General features: G+C 37.4%; 1 protein-coding gene and 1 pseudogene across 31 annotated transcripts in view, besides 2 other annotated features; both read right to left on the minus strand.

Moving 5' to 3' along the window:
* The window catches only part of PSD3 (pleckstrin and Sec7 domain containing 3), a 557503-nt gene that overhangs the window by 235482 nt on the left and 302586 nt on the right, over positions 1–19435 (minus strand). For 23 of the 31 annotated variants that reach the window (NM_001412865.1, NM_001412866.1, NM_001412871.1 and 20 more), the window contains one exon: positions 2665–2754. The exons of 2 other annotated variants lie outside the window; for them this stretch is intronic. In NM_001412865.1, the coding sequence (NP_001399794.1) occupies positions 2665–2754 (90 nt within the window). Of the gene's footprint in view, positions 1–103; positions 242–2664; positions 2755–11379; positions 12155–19435 lie in introns of those variants that run through there. 6 more of the 31 variants (NM_001412869.1, NM_001412881.1, NM_001412884.1 and 3 more) reach the window with 2 other exon arrangements.
* Positions 4298–5108: an enhancer, noted in NCBI's record as "H3K27ac hESC enhancer chr8:18624592-18625402 (GRCh37/hg19 assembly coordinates)". NCBI's record gives its function as "activates a minimal SCP1, AML or CMV promoter by ChIP-STARR-seq in naive H9 embryonic stem cells {active_cell/tissue: H9 hESC(naive)}" and the evidence as "EXISTENCE:reporter gene assay evidence [ECO:0000049][PMID:30033119]".
* Positions 7675–7969: a silencer, noted in NCBI's record as "tiled region #772; K562 Repressive non-DNase unmatched - State 24:Quies". NCBI's record gives its function as "represses a minimal TATA promoter and a strong SV40 promoter by Sharpr-MPRA in K562 cells {active_cell/tissue: K562}" and the evidence as "EXISTENCE:reporter gene assay evidence [ECO:0000049][PMID:27701403]".
* Positions 11763–12179, minus strand: RPL35P6 (ribosomal protein L35 pseudogene 6; annotated as a pseudogene).

Below are 19435 nucleotides of genomic sequence, written 5' to 3' on the forward strand. Positions count from 1 at the left end.
CTGTACACAAGCTTCTCATTTCTCACACATTTAAATATGTCAAGGTCTATTTTTTCTTAACCCTTTCTCTTCAGAAAACAACTACAACAACAAAAAAACAGAATTTGGCTTATACTTTTATTTCAACATGGAATAACTGTTTATTTTATGGAGAAAGACACCTCCAATATTTCTCAGTAGTCTGTGATCTCTGAGGACAGGTGCCCATTTGGTTTCAGCATCTTCTCCAATCCCACAACACCTAGTAAACACACAGCAGACCTTTAATAAATGTTTCCAGCTACAAAATGACATGGAACAACAGACATTCAAGTACAAATGTTACTTCTGGGCCAAAGAAATCTGAACAGACATAAATCCAAATGTTACTTTTGAACCAAATTAATCTAAAAGTATCAAGGTCAATACGTAACAATAAAAGCCTCAGTTTATGTAACTTTAAGCTTTTTTAATATTGAATCTAGCAGTTTCTATATATGATTATGAGGAAACCTAATAAAGGTCATAATTTTTCCTTTTATTTCACACAAAAAAAACTTAATGTCACACATGCCTGTAACATGGAGATTGGAAAGGTGGCAAAGAAAGAGAGAATGACCATGATATTAAAAACCTGTAAGATGACACCAAATTTTGAAAAGTTTCTATGTATGTATGTATCTGTGTAGCACATATGTAACAATATTTTCCCCCAGAATTCAAGTATATACTCCACCCAATAATTTATCTCAGCAGGGAATCCAGCGACAGCTATTCTAAGAGAAAGAGAATGAGAAAAAAAGACACCAAAAGAAAAATAGAAAGCCAAAGAGAAAGTAAAAGACAGAAATAAAAAGAAACCAGGAGAAAAGGAAGGCAGGAAGAAAGGGAGGAAAGGGAAGGAAAACCGAACAGCACACAGAATAGAGGAATGAAACCAACGTGGTTTAAAGAAAACCTTTTCTTACTGAAATTTTCAGTAAAACCCATTCCTACTGAAATGGAAAACTATCTTGGGTGGGTGAGCGGCTGGGGTTTGTTATGGAAGAGAATCAATACTTCACTTGACAATTACCATGCTAACCACCACCATTTTCGGTATCATTTCACTATCATCTTCTCACAACAAAAAAACAAATAATACATACTTTCCCATGAGGTTTATAAACATAATCTCATTGCACAACAGCAACAAATCATCTGGCAAATTCTTGGTAGAGGAAGTCAAAGAACACGTTTACTCAAGGTGAACAGTAGCCTCTGGACTGTATATTAACCATACACGGTTTCATACAGCTCCGCCAAACATGCTCTAAATTAGCCAATAATTTGCCAACCGTCATGCAGGTTACCATAAGCCTACCACTAAATTCTAAAAGCTTCACTATGAAAATTTTCCTGTCAACTTTCATTTCTGACATAAGTTGATAAAAGCCTCACAAATCCTCTCTTAGAGAGACTCCATAATTTTCCATGCAAATATCACTAGACTGAAAAAAGTCTTGTTAACACCATACGGATTCAATGGAAGATGTAAAACATCTTTATCACGTCACAATCCTGCACCATTTATCTCCCGCTCCCATTTGGATTTATACCTTTAGAAATGGCAGCACTTGCTGTACAAAGGACCTAAAGAAAATGCCTTCTTTACTCCATAAATTAAAGCTACTTTTCTTCCTGATTTTTTTTTCATAATTTCTTGTAATGTGCTGCAAATAAAGTTAGTAAGACTAAGAATGTCGTAATACCACATCGTAATGCCTTCTTTCATTTACCATAGTAGATAAGTCTTTCCAAATCTGGCAGAACTCTATTCTATGTAGCTTAAAGGTTACATAAAACACAACAAAGGACTTCTCTTTCAACATTTCCATATCATATCATACATTTCCATACCATAGCTGATTCAAATGTCACCTTTCTTGAAAATTCATTTAAAGAAATTGATTCCAAAAGAAACCTATACGTGTACTGTTTTTTAAAAGGCTAGAATCAAAAAGACAACTGTAAAAACCACATTCTCAATGTATACAATCTTACCCTACAACCCCCCAAATACTCATATTATCATTATTTTGTACTCAATCAAATGCCCATCTCATTTACAATGCTGGAGAATGCATGAATTCCAAAGTTGATTTTGTTGTCTCCTTGAAAACAATCTGATGAGGGGGAAAAACATCATGCTGATGTTACCAATAATAAAGCCAAATGCAAATAATTCAGGCATTCTACAATTACTGAGAATTTAATTTAATCTATTTCCAGAGACAACATGAGTGGCTCTGAGACTAGGGATTGAACACAGTTGGAACTGTTTCCATTATAGCCTGCAAATGCTACTCTGTTTCCGTAGTGCATATACCTTTGGGATCTTTCTTAAATTCTGATAGTCTATTTACAAATAAATCGAACAAAAACTGCCACTCACTATTTGTATCACCAACCATTCCAAATTTACTTACCTCAGTATTATTGATTATAATGCAGACTTCTAGAAATTATCAACTTAAGGTACTTTGCAGCACGAAAAATCAAGGACAAGGCTTAAAAGAAACATCACCAATAAAACCAAAAGCAAAAAGCAAAATACTTAAGTGATCCTTAGCCTACTTAGGATTAAGCTGTAAGCAGCAAACAGAAATACAAGCATACACTAAAAACCAATAGTTCCATGCTTACTTTCAGCAGATCCTTGGAGAAATCAACACCCTCATTTACCCCTTGCAGATTTGCAATGAACTCCTGACAGGTCATCTTCTTTCCAATATTCTGAAACAGAGGCAAACAGTACATCACTATGACATTCATGGAATTAAGACTGATTCATAAATATATGATGAGGCAGACCAATAATTTGTTTCTAAAAACATAACTAGGCCAGGTGCGGTGGCTCACGCCTGTAACTTCCACACTTTGGGAGGCCGAGGTGGGTGGATCACGAGGTCAGGAGATAGAGACCATCCTGGCTAACCGGGCTATGTTTAGCAGAAAGCCCGTCCACTACTAACATGTTTAGTAAAAACCCCGTCTCTACTAAAAATACAAAGAATTAGTTTGGCATGGTGGCATGCACCTGTAGTCTCAGCTACTCGGGAGGCTGAGGCAGGAGAATCGCTTGAACCCGGGAGGCAGAGGTTGCAGCGAGCGGAGATGGTGCCACTGCACTCCAGCGTGGGTGACAGAGCGAGACTCCATCTCAAAAAAAAAAACCAAAAACAAAAAACAGACAAACAAACAAACAAATAACATAACTAGACATCTATTTACAAATACAGGGCTGGGCACAGTGGCTCCTGACTCATGTCTGTAATCCCAGCACTTTGGGAGGCTGAGGTGCGTGGATTACTTGAGGTCAAGAGTTTGAGACCAGCCTGGCCAACATGGCAAAATGCTGTCTCTACTAAAAATACAAAATTTAGCCAGGCGTGGTGGCAGGCGCCTGTAGTCCTAGCTACTCGGGAGGTTGAGGCATGAGAATCACTTGAACCCAGGAGGCAGAGGTTGCAGTGAGTCGAGACTGCACTACTACACTCCAGCCTGGGTGACAGAGTGCAACTGTATCTCAAAAAACAAAAACAAAGCAACCACAGGTTTATATACACATACATACAATTTTACTGCACTAAAAACATGGTTTATTATGCTTTTAAAATTCTCATTAAATATAAATAGCAAACTTATACCAAAAACTTATTATAATGTAGAAAAAAACTTGAAAAACCGACGCTACATTTATACAATATATAATACAGTTTTTAATGAAAAACATGGGTAAAAACGGACATTTCTGAGCTGAACTCAGCTGTTTATGCATTTATTTGTGTTACCTACATACTATCAAGACCTGTGAAGGATCTGAGATTTACACTACTTTCAAACTAACAAGTTAGCCTGTCACAAGCTAATAAAATGCTGGCAGAGGAAAGAAGTCTCCTGGGTGAGAGACAAGGTATTTATTACTTACACTAACAGGGGCAGCCAGAATATCAACATTATCTTGTGACCACTGGGCTCTAGTTCCCCAAGTCCCAAATGTCACAGAGCAACCTGAATAGGGCCACAGGCCACCTGCACATGCAGTGTGTTGCATTATAGGAGAGAAACCCTAACCTTCAGGAGCTGGAATCTTTAATCATGGGAAATACGCCTATCCCTTTGCACTAGCGGGAGATACCAGCTCTACCTTCCAGGGAGATATGCAAACCTGACCGCTGCTGTGAAGTCACTACAGCATCTTCCAAAGCTACTCACTGTATATAGAAATAATCTTGAAAAGACAGAAAAGAACAAAGGCAGTCACAGCCTCTGTTCGCAAAACGTACAGGAAAGTGTGAGACCCATGGAAAATTATCTCCCAGCACGTCTCCAAGCTGGTTTAAGGACAATAAAGTTTAACAAAAGGAAATTGCATTAATAAAGTAATTAGAAAATCCAAACTACAAAAAGAGCAAAGATATAAACAAACTAAGAAAACTAACAAAATTGTTATCACAGAGAATCACCTCTTATTCTAGTTCCAAACAACTAGTAGAAGCTGCTAGCTGTGGAGGATTTTTAGGTTCCGTATAGACAGCAAGATACATCTGTTACGAGTGCAGGAGAGGAACGCAGAGCACAGAGAAGTGTCACAGGTATCATCTCTAGCAAAATGTAGTCCAAGTGAATACAAAGTGTACCAACATCGTAATATACCTGTGACCGGGCACGGTGGCTCAAGCCTGTAATCCCAGCACTTTCGGAGGCCGAGGCAGGTAGATAACGAGGTCAGGAGTTCTAGACCAGCCTGCTCAACATGGTGAAACCCCGTCTCTACTGAAAAATACATAAATTAGCCGGGTGCAGTGGCGGCCGCCTGTAACTCCAGCTACTTGGGAGGCTGAGGCAGAATAACTGCTTGAACCCGGGAGGTGGAGGATGCAGTGAGCAGAGATCGTGCCACTGCACTCCAGCCTGGGAAACAAGAGCAAGACTCCGTCTCAAAACAGATAAATAAATAAAAAATAAAAAAACCAACCAACCAAATAAATAAATATACCTGCATACACTACTACTATGCATAAATGTATGCTTTTCAAGGTCACGCTATTCTTTCGTAAAAGGCTAACAGAAGGGTAGAACAGCACCTAGTGAATTCATTTGAAAGTGAATTCATTTGAATACCTACGGTATTCAAAATGAGAAAGCAGACTTCTGGAGATAGACTTTTAAAAAGTAGCAGAGGCCGGGCGCGGTGGCTCACACCTATAATCCCAGCACTTTGGGAGGCCGAGACAGGCGGATCACTTGAGGTCAGGAGATTGAGACCAGCCTGGCCAACATAATAGAATCCTGTCTCTACTGAAAATACAAAAAAAAAAAAAAAAAAAAATAGCCGGATGTCATGGCGGGCGCCTGTAATCCCAGCTACTCAGGGGGCTGAGGCAGAAGAATCACTTGAACCCGGGAGGTGGAGGTTACAGTAAGCCAAGATTGTGCCACTGCACTCCAGCCTGAGCGACAGAGAGAGAGTCCAGTTCAAAAAATAAATAAATAATTAAAAATAAATATAAAGGAGGCCAGGCATGGTGGCTCATGCCTATAATCCCACACTGCCTGGGAGGCCCAGGAAGGAGGATCACTTGAGCCTGGGAGATCAAGACTAGCCTGGGTAACATCCCTCTCTAGAAACAATATGAAAATTAGCTGGGTATGAAGGCACGTGCTTTGCAGTCCCAGCTACTCTGGAGGCTGAGGGGCAAGATCGCTTGAGCCCAGGATGTTGAGGTTACAGTGAGCCATAATTGTGCCACTGCATTCCAGCTCGGGTAACAGAGGAAGACTTTCAAGAAGACGCACAGGCATCATTTTAAGGGAATATGTATACACAACCTCAAATTCAAAGACAGATTTGCCTGAGAACATACACCTGTGTGCCATAGGAGTCATCACTTCCCACCTCCCCTTTCCCAGCCACCCTTCTCCTGTTTCACAAAATAAAACAATTCGTCCCATTCAAGCTGTCTAAATAGTTACAATGACAGTGCTGACATTTTTGTTGTTGTTGTTAAAAACCTTGCCTCTTTCATCAGCAAAGAATGCATAGTTTGTATGAAACACTGAAAAAAATGGTTTGACAGAAGTGGCTTTGTCAGCTAACTTATTTAGTAGATATTTCTCATAAGTTAAATAAATTAAATCTGCAGTTTAAAAATTTTGTTGATAATTAGTTTAAAGCACAGAAAGGAACTTTAATGAAAAATATTGTTTTGCAACAGTATACTGAAGACGACAATAACTCAGTTTTCCCAATCCTTTCCAACTGTATCAGGTCAAACAAGGTGTCTCAAGGTAAAAAAATAACACATACAATGAACAGTCATTATGATATACCTTGGCAATACCTTTTTAGATATGTTCTGGGGAGATGAATAAATAATGACTAGGTAACAAATCTTTTTCCAAGTCAGGTGGTGTTTAATTCTTTGCTTTAAATGAAAATAAAGGAAGGTCTAATTTAGTCATCAGTTAATCACCAAAACTATTTTTTGATATGTGATCTGCAAAATTCAACTGCTTGTAACATTATCTGCTTTAAATAAATTGTTATTAATAAACTTCTTTGTAAAAGTACACTAAAATATGAGTATAAAAACGAAAATTTTTCTCTTAAAAAAGTGTGTTAATTTTGTTACATGATGATAGCATCAACTACTATAACTTTAAAAAAGTATCATCTTTATTAAAATACAATTCACAGTATATTCTTTCGAACCATATAATTCAGTGATTTTTAATAAAGGTGTGCAATCACCACCACTATCTACATTCAGAACATTTACTCCCTAAAGAAACTCCATACCCACCAGCAGTTATTCTCCAAATCTCTTCCACCACCCTCACTAGGGACCACCTGGCAAGCACAAATCTGCATTTTCTTTATACAGATTTGCCTATTCAGGACATGTGAAATAAATGGAATCATATAAAATGTAGCCTTTTATGACTAGCTTCTTTTACTTAACATGTTTTCCAAGTTCATCCATGTTGTTGCATAAATCAGTATTTAATGTCCTTTTATTTCTAAACAACATTCCATTGTATGGATATACCAATTGTGTTTCTTCATTTATAAATTGATGAATGTTTAGACTATTTTCTTTTTTTGGCTATTATAAATAATGCTGCTATAAATATTCATGTATAAGTTTCTGTGTAAACATGTTTTCATTCCTCCTGGGCATATATTTAGGAGTGGGATTATTGAGTCCTATGGTAATCTTGTTTATTCATTTAAGGAACTGCCAGACTCATTTTCAAAGTGGCTGCACCATTTCACATTCCCACAAGCAGCGAATGAGGGTTCCAGTTTCCCTCCAACCTCACAGACACTAACATCTGTCCCTTTTACTTTAGGTATTGTTATGGGTATGAACGGGTATGCTATGGTTTTGATTTGCATTTCCCTAATGACTAATGACCCTCAGCTTTTTTTCATGTGCTAATTATCCATTTGCATGTCTTCTTTAGAGAAAGGCCTGTTAAAATCCTATTTTCCCTTCTTATTGGAATATTTATATTTTTATTATTCAGTTGTAAGACTTCTTTACACATTCTAGATATAATTTTCTTATCACATATGTACTTTAAAAATATCTTTTCCCATTCTGTGGGTCTTTTCATTTTTTTCCTTTCACTTTCTTGATGATGTCCTTTTGAAGCAGGATATTTCCCTGACCCCTTCATGGGCAGATATGGGAGTATATGAGCACTGGAGTCAGCCAACTCCACTCACTCAAATCTGCTGTGTTCCACCCCTTGCTGGAGGGAGCAAACAGGTGAGTGGGTACGGCAGCTCGGGCAAATGCCTTCGGGCACCAGCAGGAGTGAACTCTGTACTGGTCCCGCAGCAACATCTGGGGAGGGGTGCCAGTGACCCCTGAAGTCCCAGAGGAAGTGTTTGGGTGCTCTTTTAGCTTGGCTGTCTGCATATGGCTTAAGTGTTAACAGCTCAGTGGATCCTCTGCCTTTTTGGGTGAGATGGCTGCCTTCTGCCAGCAAGGGCAAAGGGTCAGTGTGACAGCCTTTTGCAACCACACTTGGGGCACCTGAGCTCTTTACCAGCATCCAGGAGAAAAGAGGTTGCACAAACAAATTGGAGGATGGTAAATGCAGGAAATTTTATTGCCGATGGAAGTGGCTCTCAGCAGGAAGGGGAGCTGAAAAGGGGACAGAGTGGGAAGGTAAATGCCACTGAAGTTTGGCTGTCTCTGGCCAGATTCTTCTCAGAAGTTATGCTGTCAGACTGTCCCTCTGAAGTCAAGCCACTTCTCTCTGACATCCAGCTGTAGTCTCCAATGTCCAGCTGCTTCTCCTCTCTCTGCTGGCTGAGGCTGGGGCTTTTATGGGCACAGGAATGGGGGGCAGAGCAGGCCATGGGTGGTTTTGGAAAAGGCAACATTTGAACAGGAAATCAGGGATGTAAGTTCTCACTTTGGGCCACCGCATCAGGCTTTTCAGCTTGAGGGTGCAGCCCTCACTGGGGACCCATCCTCTTCTGCCCAGAATTTCCCTGCCTCTTGTCCCTATCACTTTGAAGCACAAAAGGTTTTAATTAGGTGAAATCCAGTTTACCTGTGTTTTATTTTCTTACTTGTGTATTTTATATCTAAGAAATCATTGCCTAATCCAACATCACAAAGATTTACTCCAAAAAATTTTGTAGCATTAGCTCTTATATTTAGATATTTGACCCATTTTGAGTTCATTTTTGTACGATAGAAAGCAGAGATTCAACTTCATTCTTTTACATGTGGATATTCAGTTGTTACGACATCATTTACTGGAAAGACTACTTTTCCCCCACCAAATTGTTTTGAAACTCTTTTTGAAATCAACAGACCATAAATGTATGGGATTATTTTTAGACACTTGATTATACTGCAATGATCTAGCTGTTGAGCTTTATATCAGCATAACTCTTGATTACTGAAGCTTTGCACTGAGTTTACCATGTTAACAGTTTTAAGCATTCAGTTCAGTACTGTTTCACATTAGTATATTCACACTGTTGTGGAACAGAATTCCAAAACTTTTTCACCTCACTAATCTCAAACTCTATACCCATTAAAGAGCTCCTCTTTTCCCCTTCATGCCAGCCACTTGTAACCAACGTTCTACTTTCTGTTTATATGAATTTAACAACTTTACTTACCTCAAACAAATGGAATCATATTTTTTCTTTTTGTGACTGGCTTATTTCACTTAGCATAATGTCCTCAAGGTTCATCCATGTTGTAGCATGTGACAGGATTTCTTTCCTTTTTAAGGCTGAACGATTTTCCATTTTATGTAGAGACAACATTTTATTTATACATAAATCTGTGGATGAACATTTGGTCTGCTTCTACTTCTTGGTTAATGTGAAAAGTGTGGCTACGAACATGGGTGGGCAAGTATCTCTTCAAAATCCAGCTTTAAACTTTTTATATATATACGTGCAGAAATGAGATTGGTGTATCACATGATAGTTATATTTCTCATTTTTTTGTGGACCCTCCAAGCTATTTTCCACAGTGATTGCACCATTTTACAATTCCTACAACAGTACGTTTCCAATTTGTCTACATCCTTGCCAAAAATAGTTTCTATTTTTTTTGATAGCAATGATCGTAGTGGGTATCAGGTGATACCCAACTGTAGTTTTTATTTGCATTTCTAGATTAGAGAATGTTGAGTATGTTTTCATATGCTTGTGAACACTTCTTTTATTCTTTTTTTGAAATGGAGTTTTGCTCTCGTGGCCCAGGCTGGAGTGCAGTGGCACAATCTCTGGTCACTGTGACCTCCGCCTCCCAAGTTCAAGTGTTTCTCCTGACTCGGCCTCCCAAGTAGCTGGGATTACAGGTGCCCACCATCATGCCCGGCTAATTTTTTGTATTTTTAGTAGAGATGGGGTTTTACCATGTTGCACAGGCTGGTCTCGAACCCTTGACCTCAGGTGATCTGCCCACCTTGGCCTTCCAAAGTGCTGGGATTACAGGCATGAGCCACTGCGCCCGGCCCTTGTGAACATTTCTAGACCATCTTTGGATAAATATCTATTAAAGTATTTTTCCCCTTTTAAAATCAGGATATTTGATTTTTAGATGTGGAAATATAGGAGTTCTTTACACAGTCCGATATTAACTCCTTATAGGTATATGATTTGTAAATATTTTATTCTATTCTGTAGGTTGCCTTTACACACCCCTTTGTTTTTAAGGCACAAACGTTTCAGTTTGATGTAGTCCCATTTTTGTTTTTGTTGCCTGTGCTTTTGGTGTCACAGTGAAGAAATTGCCGGCACATACAATAACGTGATGTTTTTCCCCTATGTTTTTTCTCAGGATTTTATAGTTTCAGGATTACATTTAGGTCTTTAAAACATTGAGATAATTTTTATACACTGTGTGATATAAGGGTCCTACTTCTCTTTTTTTTGCATGAAGATACTGTATTCACACTACCATTTTTTAAAAAGTCTGACATTTCCCCAATGAGTGGTCTTAGCACTCTTGTTGAAGATTTGAGGATTTGTGCACTCTATTCTATTCCATTAGCCTGTCCTTATGCCAGTTCCACACTATTTTGACTACTGTAGCTTTGTAATATGTTTAAAATAACATACGAGTACTCTAACTCTGTTCTTTTTCAAAACTGTTATGATTATTTGGGGTACCTTGAACTCTCATATGATTTTTAGAACATTTTCCATCTCTGGGATAAATGTTATTGAGATTTTGATAGTAATCGTGTTGAATCTGTAGATTACTTTGTATAGTATAATATATAAAAAAATTAAGTCTTCCAGTCCATGAACATGAAATATTTTCCCTTTTATTTGCATCTTATTATTCTGCAGCATGGTTTGATAAGTTTTGAAATGGAGAAATCAGGAGTCCTCCAATTTTTTGCCTCTTTTTCTATATTTTGACTATTCTGGGCCCTTTCCATTTCCACATAAATTTCAGGATTTGTCTGTCCATTTCTTTACATACATATACAAAGTGAACTTGGATTTTCACAGTGATTCTGTGGAATCTGAAGATCAGTTTGGAGAGTACTTCAGTCTTAACAATAAAGTTCCAATACATGACTATAAAAGATCTTTCCACTTTTACAGTTCCTTTCTTCAGTATTTTGTAGTTTCACTTGAACTTATTTTGTTAAATTTATTCTCTAATATCTTGATTTTTTGATGCTACTGTAAAATTATTTCACTTTTAATGTTCATTGCTAGTATATAGCAATGCAATTGTTTTGCAAATGCTCAACTTGTATTTTGCAGCCTTGCTGAACGTCTTTAGTCCTAATAGGTTTTTTCTTTTGTATAGTCCTGAAGATCCTCTACACACAAGATCAGTTCTCCCATACAGATTCCTTTAGTTATTCCTTTAATTTTGTTTTAAAGACACAAAATATTTTATTATGCTACATATAAACAGAGTTTTTAAAAACTGAAACATAATAGCTACATATATTTTTAGAGTACATGTGATATCTTGATATATGTATATATCGTATAATGATCAGAACAGGGCAAAAGAGACATCCATCTCCCCAAAAATTCACCCCTTCTTTGTGTTGGGAACATTTCAATTGCTCTCCACCAGTTATTTTAAGATATACAAATTATTGTTAACTATAGTCACTCTACTGCAGTACTGAACAATACATCGTGTTCCTTCTAACTGTATTTTTGTGCCCATTAACCTAACACCTTTTTTTTTCCTCCAGTTTGAATTTTGACTCAGCAATGTTCATGCCTAGACCTCTTACTTCTGTCGTTGGTACAGCCTGTTCCTGCTGCTGCTGCTTCTTGGTCTTCAGGTTCTCCCTATGCTTGTTCAGCCAGTGGCACATGATACAAGTATTCTTGGGCCACAGATCTGGGGGCTAGTATTTCTTGCCCTTGTAGAACTTCCTGAGGTTTGTTTTCTGAGTTTGGCTAATGACGGTGAGAACACAGGCAACAGATTTGGAAATGACTACAATCTAAGAGAACTGGAATGTCGGGCACCTGTCACTTCGGCGACATACATCTGGGACAGGTCTACCTTCAGGTTGTCCAGCTGTCTTAGCAGCTCCTCTTCCTTCTTGCCTCAAAGATCCTGAGCCTTAATCTTGGCTACGGCTGCAAAAGCCACCACCGCTGCCAAATGCCCCGAGGGAAAGAGAAAAGTGCCCATTAATCAACCTTTCAAAACCCTTTCTAAATCCCCTGTGCCCCTCCTCCTCCTACCTTCTGGTAACCACCAATCTACTCTCTACCTTCATGAAATCTACTTTTTAAGCCCCCCCAAGTTTGAGAAAGAACATGTGGTATTTGTCGCTCTGTGCCAGTTTACTTCACTTAACATAATGACCTCTGTGTTCCATCCACATTGCTACCAATAACATAATTTCATCATTTTCTATGGCCGAGTAATATTCCACTTATATTTATGTACCACATTTTCTATATCCATTCATCTATAAATTAACATTTAGGTGAATTCCATATCTTGGCTAACGTGAATAGTACTACAATAAACATGGGAGTGCAGACATTTCTTGAATATACTGACTTCGTTTCTTTTAAATATATACCAAGCAGTGGGAATGGAGAGTCATATGGTAGTTCTATAGTTTTTCAATGAGCATTCACACTCTTTTTCATACTGTCTTTTTCAGAGAGTGTATGAGTTTCCCTTTCTTTTCATTCTGGCCAGCACTCATTGTTTATTGTCTTTTTGATAAAAACCATTTTAACTCGGGTAAAATGATATCTCCTGTGGTTTTGATTTGCATTTCCCTGTAACACTGAACATCTATTCATGTATCTGTTGGCCATTTCTATGTCTTCTTTTGAGAAATACCTATTCAATCAAAAATTTTGCCCATTTTAAAATCGAGTTATTTGACCATTTGCTGTTGAGTTACTTATATATTCTGGTTATTAATCCCTTTTCAAATGGATAGCTCAAAAATATCTTCTACCATTCTGTAGCTTGTATCTTCACTTTGTTGATTATTTCCTTTACTGGGCAGAAGGGTTTTAGCTTGATGGGACACCACATCTAAATATTTTAGCATTTGTTGCTCATAATTTAGAGGTCTTCCCCTCCCCCGCCGACCCCCTGCAAAATCTTTACTCATCCCACCATTGTAGTGTTTCCCCAATCTTTTCTTCTAGTAGTTTCATATTTTTAGTTCTTACATTTAACTCTTTAATCCAAGTTGAGGTGATTTTTGTAAATTGTGAAAGTTAAGAGTCTAGTTTGATTCTTCTTCATAAGCATATCCAGTTTTCTGAGCACCATTTATTGAAGAAACTCCCCATTCCTCAAAGTATGTTCTTGGAGCCTTTGTCAAAACTAAGTTGGCTATAAATGCATGGATTTCTAGGTTTCTCTATTCTGTTCCACTGACCAATGTGTCTATTTCCATGCCAGTACCATACTATATTGGTTACCATGGCTCTCTCTCTCTCTCTATATATATATAATGTATAAATATATATATAATGTATAAATATATATAGTATAAAATATATATAAACTATATAAATATATATAGTATAAAAATATATATATCTAAATATATGTATATATATAATTTTTTTTTTTTGTTTTTGAGACGGAGTCTCGATCTCTTGCCCAGGCTGGAGTGCAGTGGCACAACCTCGGCTGACTGCAACCTATACCTCCTAGGTTCAAGTGATTCGTCTGCCTCAGCTTCCCGAGTTGCTGGGACTACAGGCCACCACACCTGGCTACTTTTTCTATTTTTAGTAGAGACAGGGTTTCACCATATTGGCCAGGCTGGTCTCGAACTTCTGACCTCGTGATCTGCTAGCTTTGGCCTCCTCAAGTGCTAGGATTGCAGGTGTGAGTCACCGCATCTGGCCTGGTTCTTCTTTAAATGTCTGACAGAACTGAGCAGTGAAACTGTCAGATCATGAGCTTCCCTTTGATGGGAGACCATTTTATTAGTGCTTTGATCTCGTTACTCATTACTGGTCTGTTCAAGTTTTTTCTTTCTTCAAAGTTCCCGATGAACTTCGTGGTTCTTGAATCTTCTTGGTAGTTTGTATGTTTCTAAAAATACCTCCACTTCTCGTTTTTCCAAGTAGTTGGGGAATACTTCTTCATAAGAGTCTCTAATGATTTTGTGTTTCTTTGTATTTCTGCGGTATCAGTAGTTATGTCTCTTTTTTTGTTTCTGATTTTATTGATTTTGGTCTTTTTTCTTAGACTAGCAAAAAGTTTGTCAATTTTGCCTTTTGTTTTTTTGAGACGGAGTCTACCTCTATTGCCCAGACTGGAGTGCAGTGGAACGATCTTGGCTCACTGAAACCTCTGCCTCCTGGGTTCAAGCAATTCTTGTGCCTCAGCCTCCCGTGTAGCTGGGACTACAGGCATGCACCACCACGCCCAGCTAATTTTTCTATTTTTAGTAGAGACAGGGTTTCACCATGTTGGCCAGGATGGTCTCGATCTCCTGACCTCCTGATCCACCCACCTCGGCCTCCCAAAGTGCTGGGATTACAAGTGTGAGCCACTGTGCCTTGCCAATTTTGCCAATGTTTTAAAAAACCCAACTTTTCATTTCTGTTGACCTTTTAAATTGTTTCTTAAAATCTGAACTTCACTTTTTATGCTCTGACCTTTATTGTTTCCTTCCACTAATGTTGAGTTTTTTTCCCATGCTTTTCTAGTTCTTTACAGTGTTTCATTAGATTGTTTATCTGAAATCTAAGTTTAAGAAAACATTAACACATAATAACTATACATATTTATGGGGTACATGTGATATTTTGAAATATGCATGTAATGTGTAATAATCAAATCAGGATATTTTGGATACCCATCACTTCAAACATTTACTACATCTCTGTGTTGGGATCATTTCAAATCTTCCAGCTATTTTGAAATATTCAACAATTATAAACTATATTCATCCTCCGGTGCTATGAAAGAATAGGACTTATTCCTTCTAACTATATGTTTCCATTCGCCTCCCTTTAATCCCACCACCACCACTATCCACAGCCTCTGGTAAATATCATTTTACTCTCTATGTCCATGATATCAACTTTTTAAACTCCCTCATGAGGGAGAGCATACAATATGTGTCTTTCAATGCCTGACTTACTTCACTCAATATAATGAAATGTAATTTTATCCACGTTACCGTAAATGCCAAGATTTCATTTTAATGGAAGAGTAATATTCTATTATGTATATATGTTACATTTTCTTTGTGTATTCATAAGTTGATGGACACAGATTAATTCCATATCTTGGCTATCAAGAATAGTACTGTAGTAAGTACAGGGATGCCCTATAACTCTGACATTAATTTCCTTCCATTTGGATAAAAACATAGTAGTGGGGTTGCTGGATCGAATGAAATTACTCCTGGGTTAAATTTATTCCCAGGTTTTTTCTTTTGTAGCTGTTATAAATGGGATTACTTTCCTGATTTCTTTTTCAACTAGTTCATTATTAGAGAATAGACACACTGCTGAGTTGTGTACACTGATTTTTTACCTTGAAACTTTACTGAGTTCATCTATCAGATCTAAGAGTTTCAGGTAGAGTCTTTAGGTTCTTCTATATATAAGATCATGTTATCTGAAGAAAGGACAATTTGAATTCCCCTTTTCAAACGTGGATGCATTTCTTTTGCCTGGTTACTCTGGCTAGGACTTCCAGTACTATATTGAATATGAGTGGTGAAGGTGAGCATCCTTATCTTGTTTTAGTTCTTAGAAGAAAGGATTTCAGTTCTGCCTCAGTATGTAGTTAGCTGCAGCTTTGTCATACATGGCGTTTACTATGATGTGTTCTTTCTATGTCTAATTTATTGAGTTTTTTTATTATGAAGGGATGTTGAATTTTATGAAACCCTTTTTTTGCATTTGAGATGCAAAAATATATAATTATATTAAAAATATAATTTTTGACCTTTTTGTGACGTATCATGTTTATTGATTTACATATAATAAACCATCCTACCATCCCTGGAATAAAACCCACTTGATCATCGTGAATGATCTTTTTATTGATTTGTTAGATTTGGTGTGCTGGTATTTTGCTGAGGAATTTTGCATCTAAGTTCGTCAGGAATACTGGCCTATAGTGTTTTCTTATTGTATCCTTATCTGGTTCTGGCATCAAGGTAATTCTGGCCTCATGGAACAAGCTAGGAAAAAATCCCTCCTCTCCAATTTTTCGGAATAGTTTGAGGAGAACTGATGTTAGATCTTCTTTGTAAGTTTGTAGCATTCAGCAGTAAAAATCTCCTGGGCTCAAGCTTTTCTCTGTTAGAAGACATTTTATTACTGAATCAGTTTCATTACTCATTATTGATCTGTTCAGGTGTTCTATTTCTTCATGGCCAAATATTGGTAGTTTCCTCATGTCCAGGAATGAATCTGTTTCCCGTAGGTTCCAATTTGTTCAGACAGTTGTTCACGATAGTCTCTAACAATCTTCTATTTTTGTGGGATATAAGTTTTACTGTCTCCTTTTTTGGTTGGGATTTTATTTGTGTCTTCTTTTTTAATCTTGGTTAGTCTATCCAGCAATTTATGAATGTTGTTTATTCTCTCAAAAAAAAAACCCAACTCTTCATTTCACTGATCCTCTGTATAGCCTTTTTTTCACCTCTAATTTAGTTCTGCTCTGACTTTATTATTTCCTGCTGTTAATTTTGTATCTGGTTTGTTCTTGCTTTTCTAGTTCCTTGAGGTGCATCAATAGGTTCTTTAAAATCTTTCTACTTTCTTCATGTAAGTATTTGTTGCTATTAAACATCCTTTTATCATGGCTTTTGCTGTATCCCACATATTTTGATATGTTGTGTTCCCATTTTGATTTGTTTCAAGAAACTTTTTGTTTCTTATTTCTCCTTAAATCCAGTGATGGCTCATAATTGTGGCTTAATTTCCTTGTATTTGTACAATTTCCAAAGTTCTCATTGTTGATTTCTAGTTTTATTCCATCGTGGTCTGAGAAGATACGTGATATTATTTCTATTTTTTTAATCGTTGAGACTACTTTTGTTGTATAACAAATAGTCTAGCCTCAAGAATGTCCCATGTGATAAGAATACTTGTTCTGTAGCTGTTGGACAATATGTTCTGTAAATGTCTATCAAGCGCATTTGATCTAAAACGAAGTTTAAATCCAATACCTCTTTGTTGATGACTTGGCTAGATGATCAGTCCAAGGCTGAGAGTCAGTTGTTGAAGACACCTAATCTGATTTTATTGGACTCAGTCTCTCCCTTTAGATTCAATAATGTTTGCTTTCTATATCTGCATGCTCCAGTGTTGGGCGCACAAATATTTAGAATTGTTTAATCTTCTTGCTGAAATGGTCCCTCTACCATTATAGAATTACCTTCTTTGCCGCTTTTTGGCTTAAAGTCTATTTTATCTGATACTAGTGTAGCTACTCATGCTTGCTTTTGGTTTCTGTTTGCATGGATTATCTTTTTCCATCCCTTCACTTTGAGTCTACGTGTCTTTACCAGTAAAGTCAGTTTTTTATAGGCAGTATATAGTTAAGTCATTTTTTTTTTGTTTTTCTATTCAGCCAATCTATATTTTTTAAGGGGGGAATTTAAACTGTTTACATTCAAGGTTATTATTCAGTACTTAATTCCTGTCATTTTGTGAATTATTTTTTGGTTTTGTGTATCCTCTCATCCTGTTCTCCTCTTATCATTGTGGTTTGCTGGTTTTCTGTAGTAGTAACACTTGCCTCCTCTATTTATTTATTTATTTTTTTGTGAGACCGACACTCACTCTGTTGCCCAGGCTGGAGTGTGCAGTGGTGCGACCTTGGCTCACTGTAAGCTCTGCGTCTTGGGTTCACGCCATTCTCCTACCTCAGCCTCCTGAGTAGCTGGGACTACAGGTGCCTGCCACCAAGCCTGGCTAATTTTTTTGTATTTTTAGTAGAGACGGGGTTTCACTGTGTTAGCCAGGATGGTCTCAATCTCCTGACCTCATGATCCGCCTGCCTTGGCCTCCCAAAGTGCTGGTATTACAGGCGTGAGCCACCGCGCCTGGCCCAGAGTTTTATACTTTTATGTGTTTTGATTATGACAGATATTGTCCTTTATCTTCTAAATGCAGGGCTCCCTTGACCTCTTCTTGTAGGGCCAGTAGAGTGGTGATTAACTTCAATTTTTCCTTGCTTTGGAAAGCATTTATTCTCCTTCATTTTTTATATCTTCCCCAGGTATAATATTTTTGGCTGACAGTTGTGTTTTTTTGTTTGTTCTGCTTTTCACCACTTTGGAGTTATCATTTCATTTACTCCTGGACTGCAGTGGCCAAAGTAATTCCATCCACCACGTTGATTTCTTATTAACCCCAGTTCCAAGAAGGCCTCTAAGATTTCCAGTTTATTTTTACTTAAGAGCATGTACTTACCATAAATCCCATTCCTAGGTCAAAACAATGTAAATGTTATTGTACTTGCTATAATCAATGCCCTTAAGCAGTTATCCTACACAGCCCTTCTGATGCATGCATATCCTTTTTCTATGGCATATAAGCCCTAGGTCTTGGGAGTAAAGGCACAGGGATCCACCATCTTTGTCTCTTGAAGTACCTCCCAAGACACAATCCCTATTAAATGTTCCTAAGTCCCTATTAAATGTTTCTAAGAAACTGAATTTGTCAGCCTCTTTCTTTGGCCTCTCATATTCCTTGAACTTTGGGGGTAGGGTTGTATAGACTTTTCCACCGTGGAACATGGCCTGGAAGGTTTCTGCTAAGAAATTTGCTATTAGTGTGATAGGGATACTCTTCTCTGTGACTTGACCCCTTTGCTGTATTTAGAATTCTCTTTTTCTTGGACTTTTAACAGTTCGACTATGAAGTGGCATGGAGAAGGCCTTTCAGGGTAGAATATATTTGAAGATCTTCGAGCTTCCTATATCTAGATGTCTGTATCTCTTCCAAGACTTGAGAAGTTTTTACCTATTATTTCGTTAAATGGGTTTTCTATGCCATTACCCATCTGTTCTCTTCCAGGAAAACTGAAAATTCCACTATTTCGTCATTGTATGTGTTACATAAGCTTTCTTCGTTTTTATTTTTTTTAAAAATGTTATCTGCTCAGGTTATTTCAAAAGACCTGTCTTCAAGTTTACAAATTCTTCTGCTTGATCTAGAGTCTGTTATTGAAACTGATGATTATATTTTTTATTTTACTCTTTGAATTCTTCAGTTTCAGGATTTCTATTTAACTTCTTTCTGACATCTTTGTTGAATTTCTCATACAGATGGTGAAATGTTTCTTTGCATTGTTCATCTGTTTTCTGTAGTACCTGGGTTTTCAGAAATATTTTGAATTCATTTTCAGGTATTTCATAGATTTTTTTTAATATTGGCATCTGTTGCTGGAGAATTATTGTGTTCCTTTGATGG

This window comes from Homo sapiens, chromosome 8 (assembly GCF_000001405.40).
Source record: "Homo sapiens chromosome 8, GRCh38.p14 Primary Assembly".
NCBI classification, from domain to species: Eukaryota; Metazoa; Chordata; class Mammalia; order Primates; family Hominidae; genus Homo; species Homo sapiens.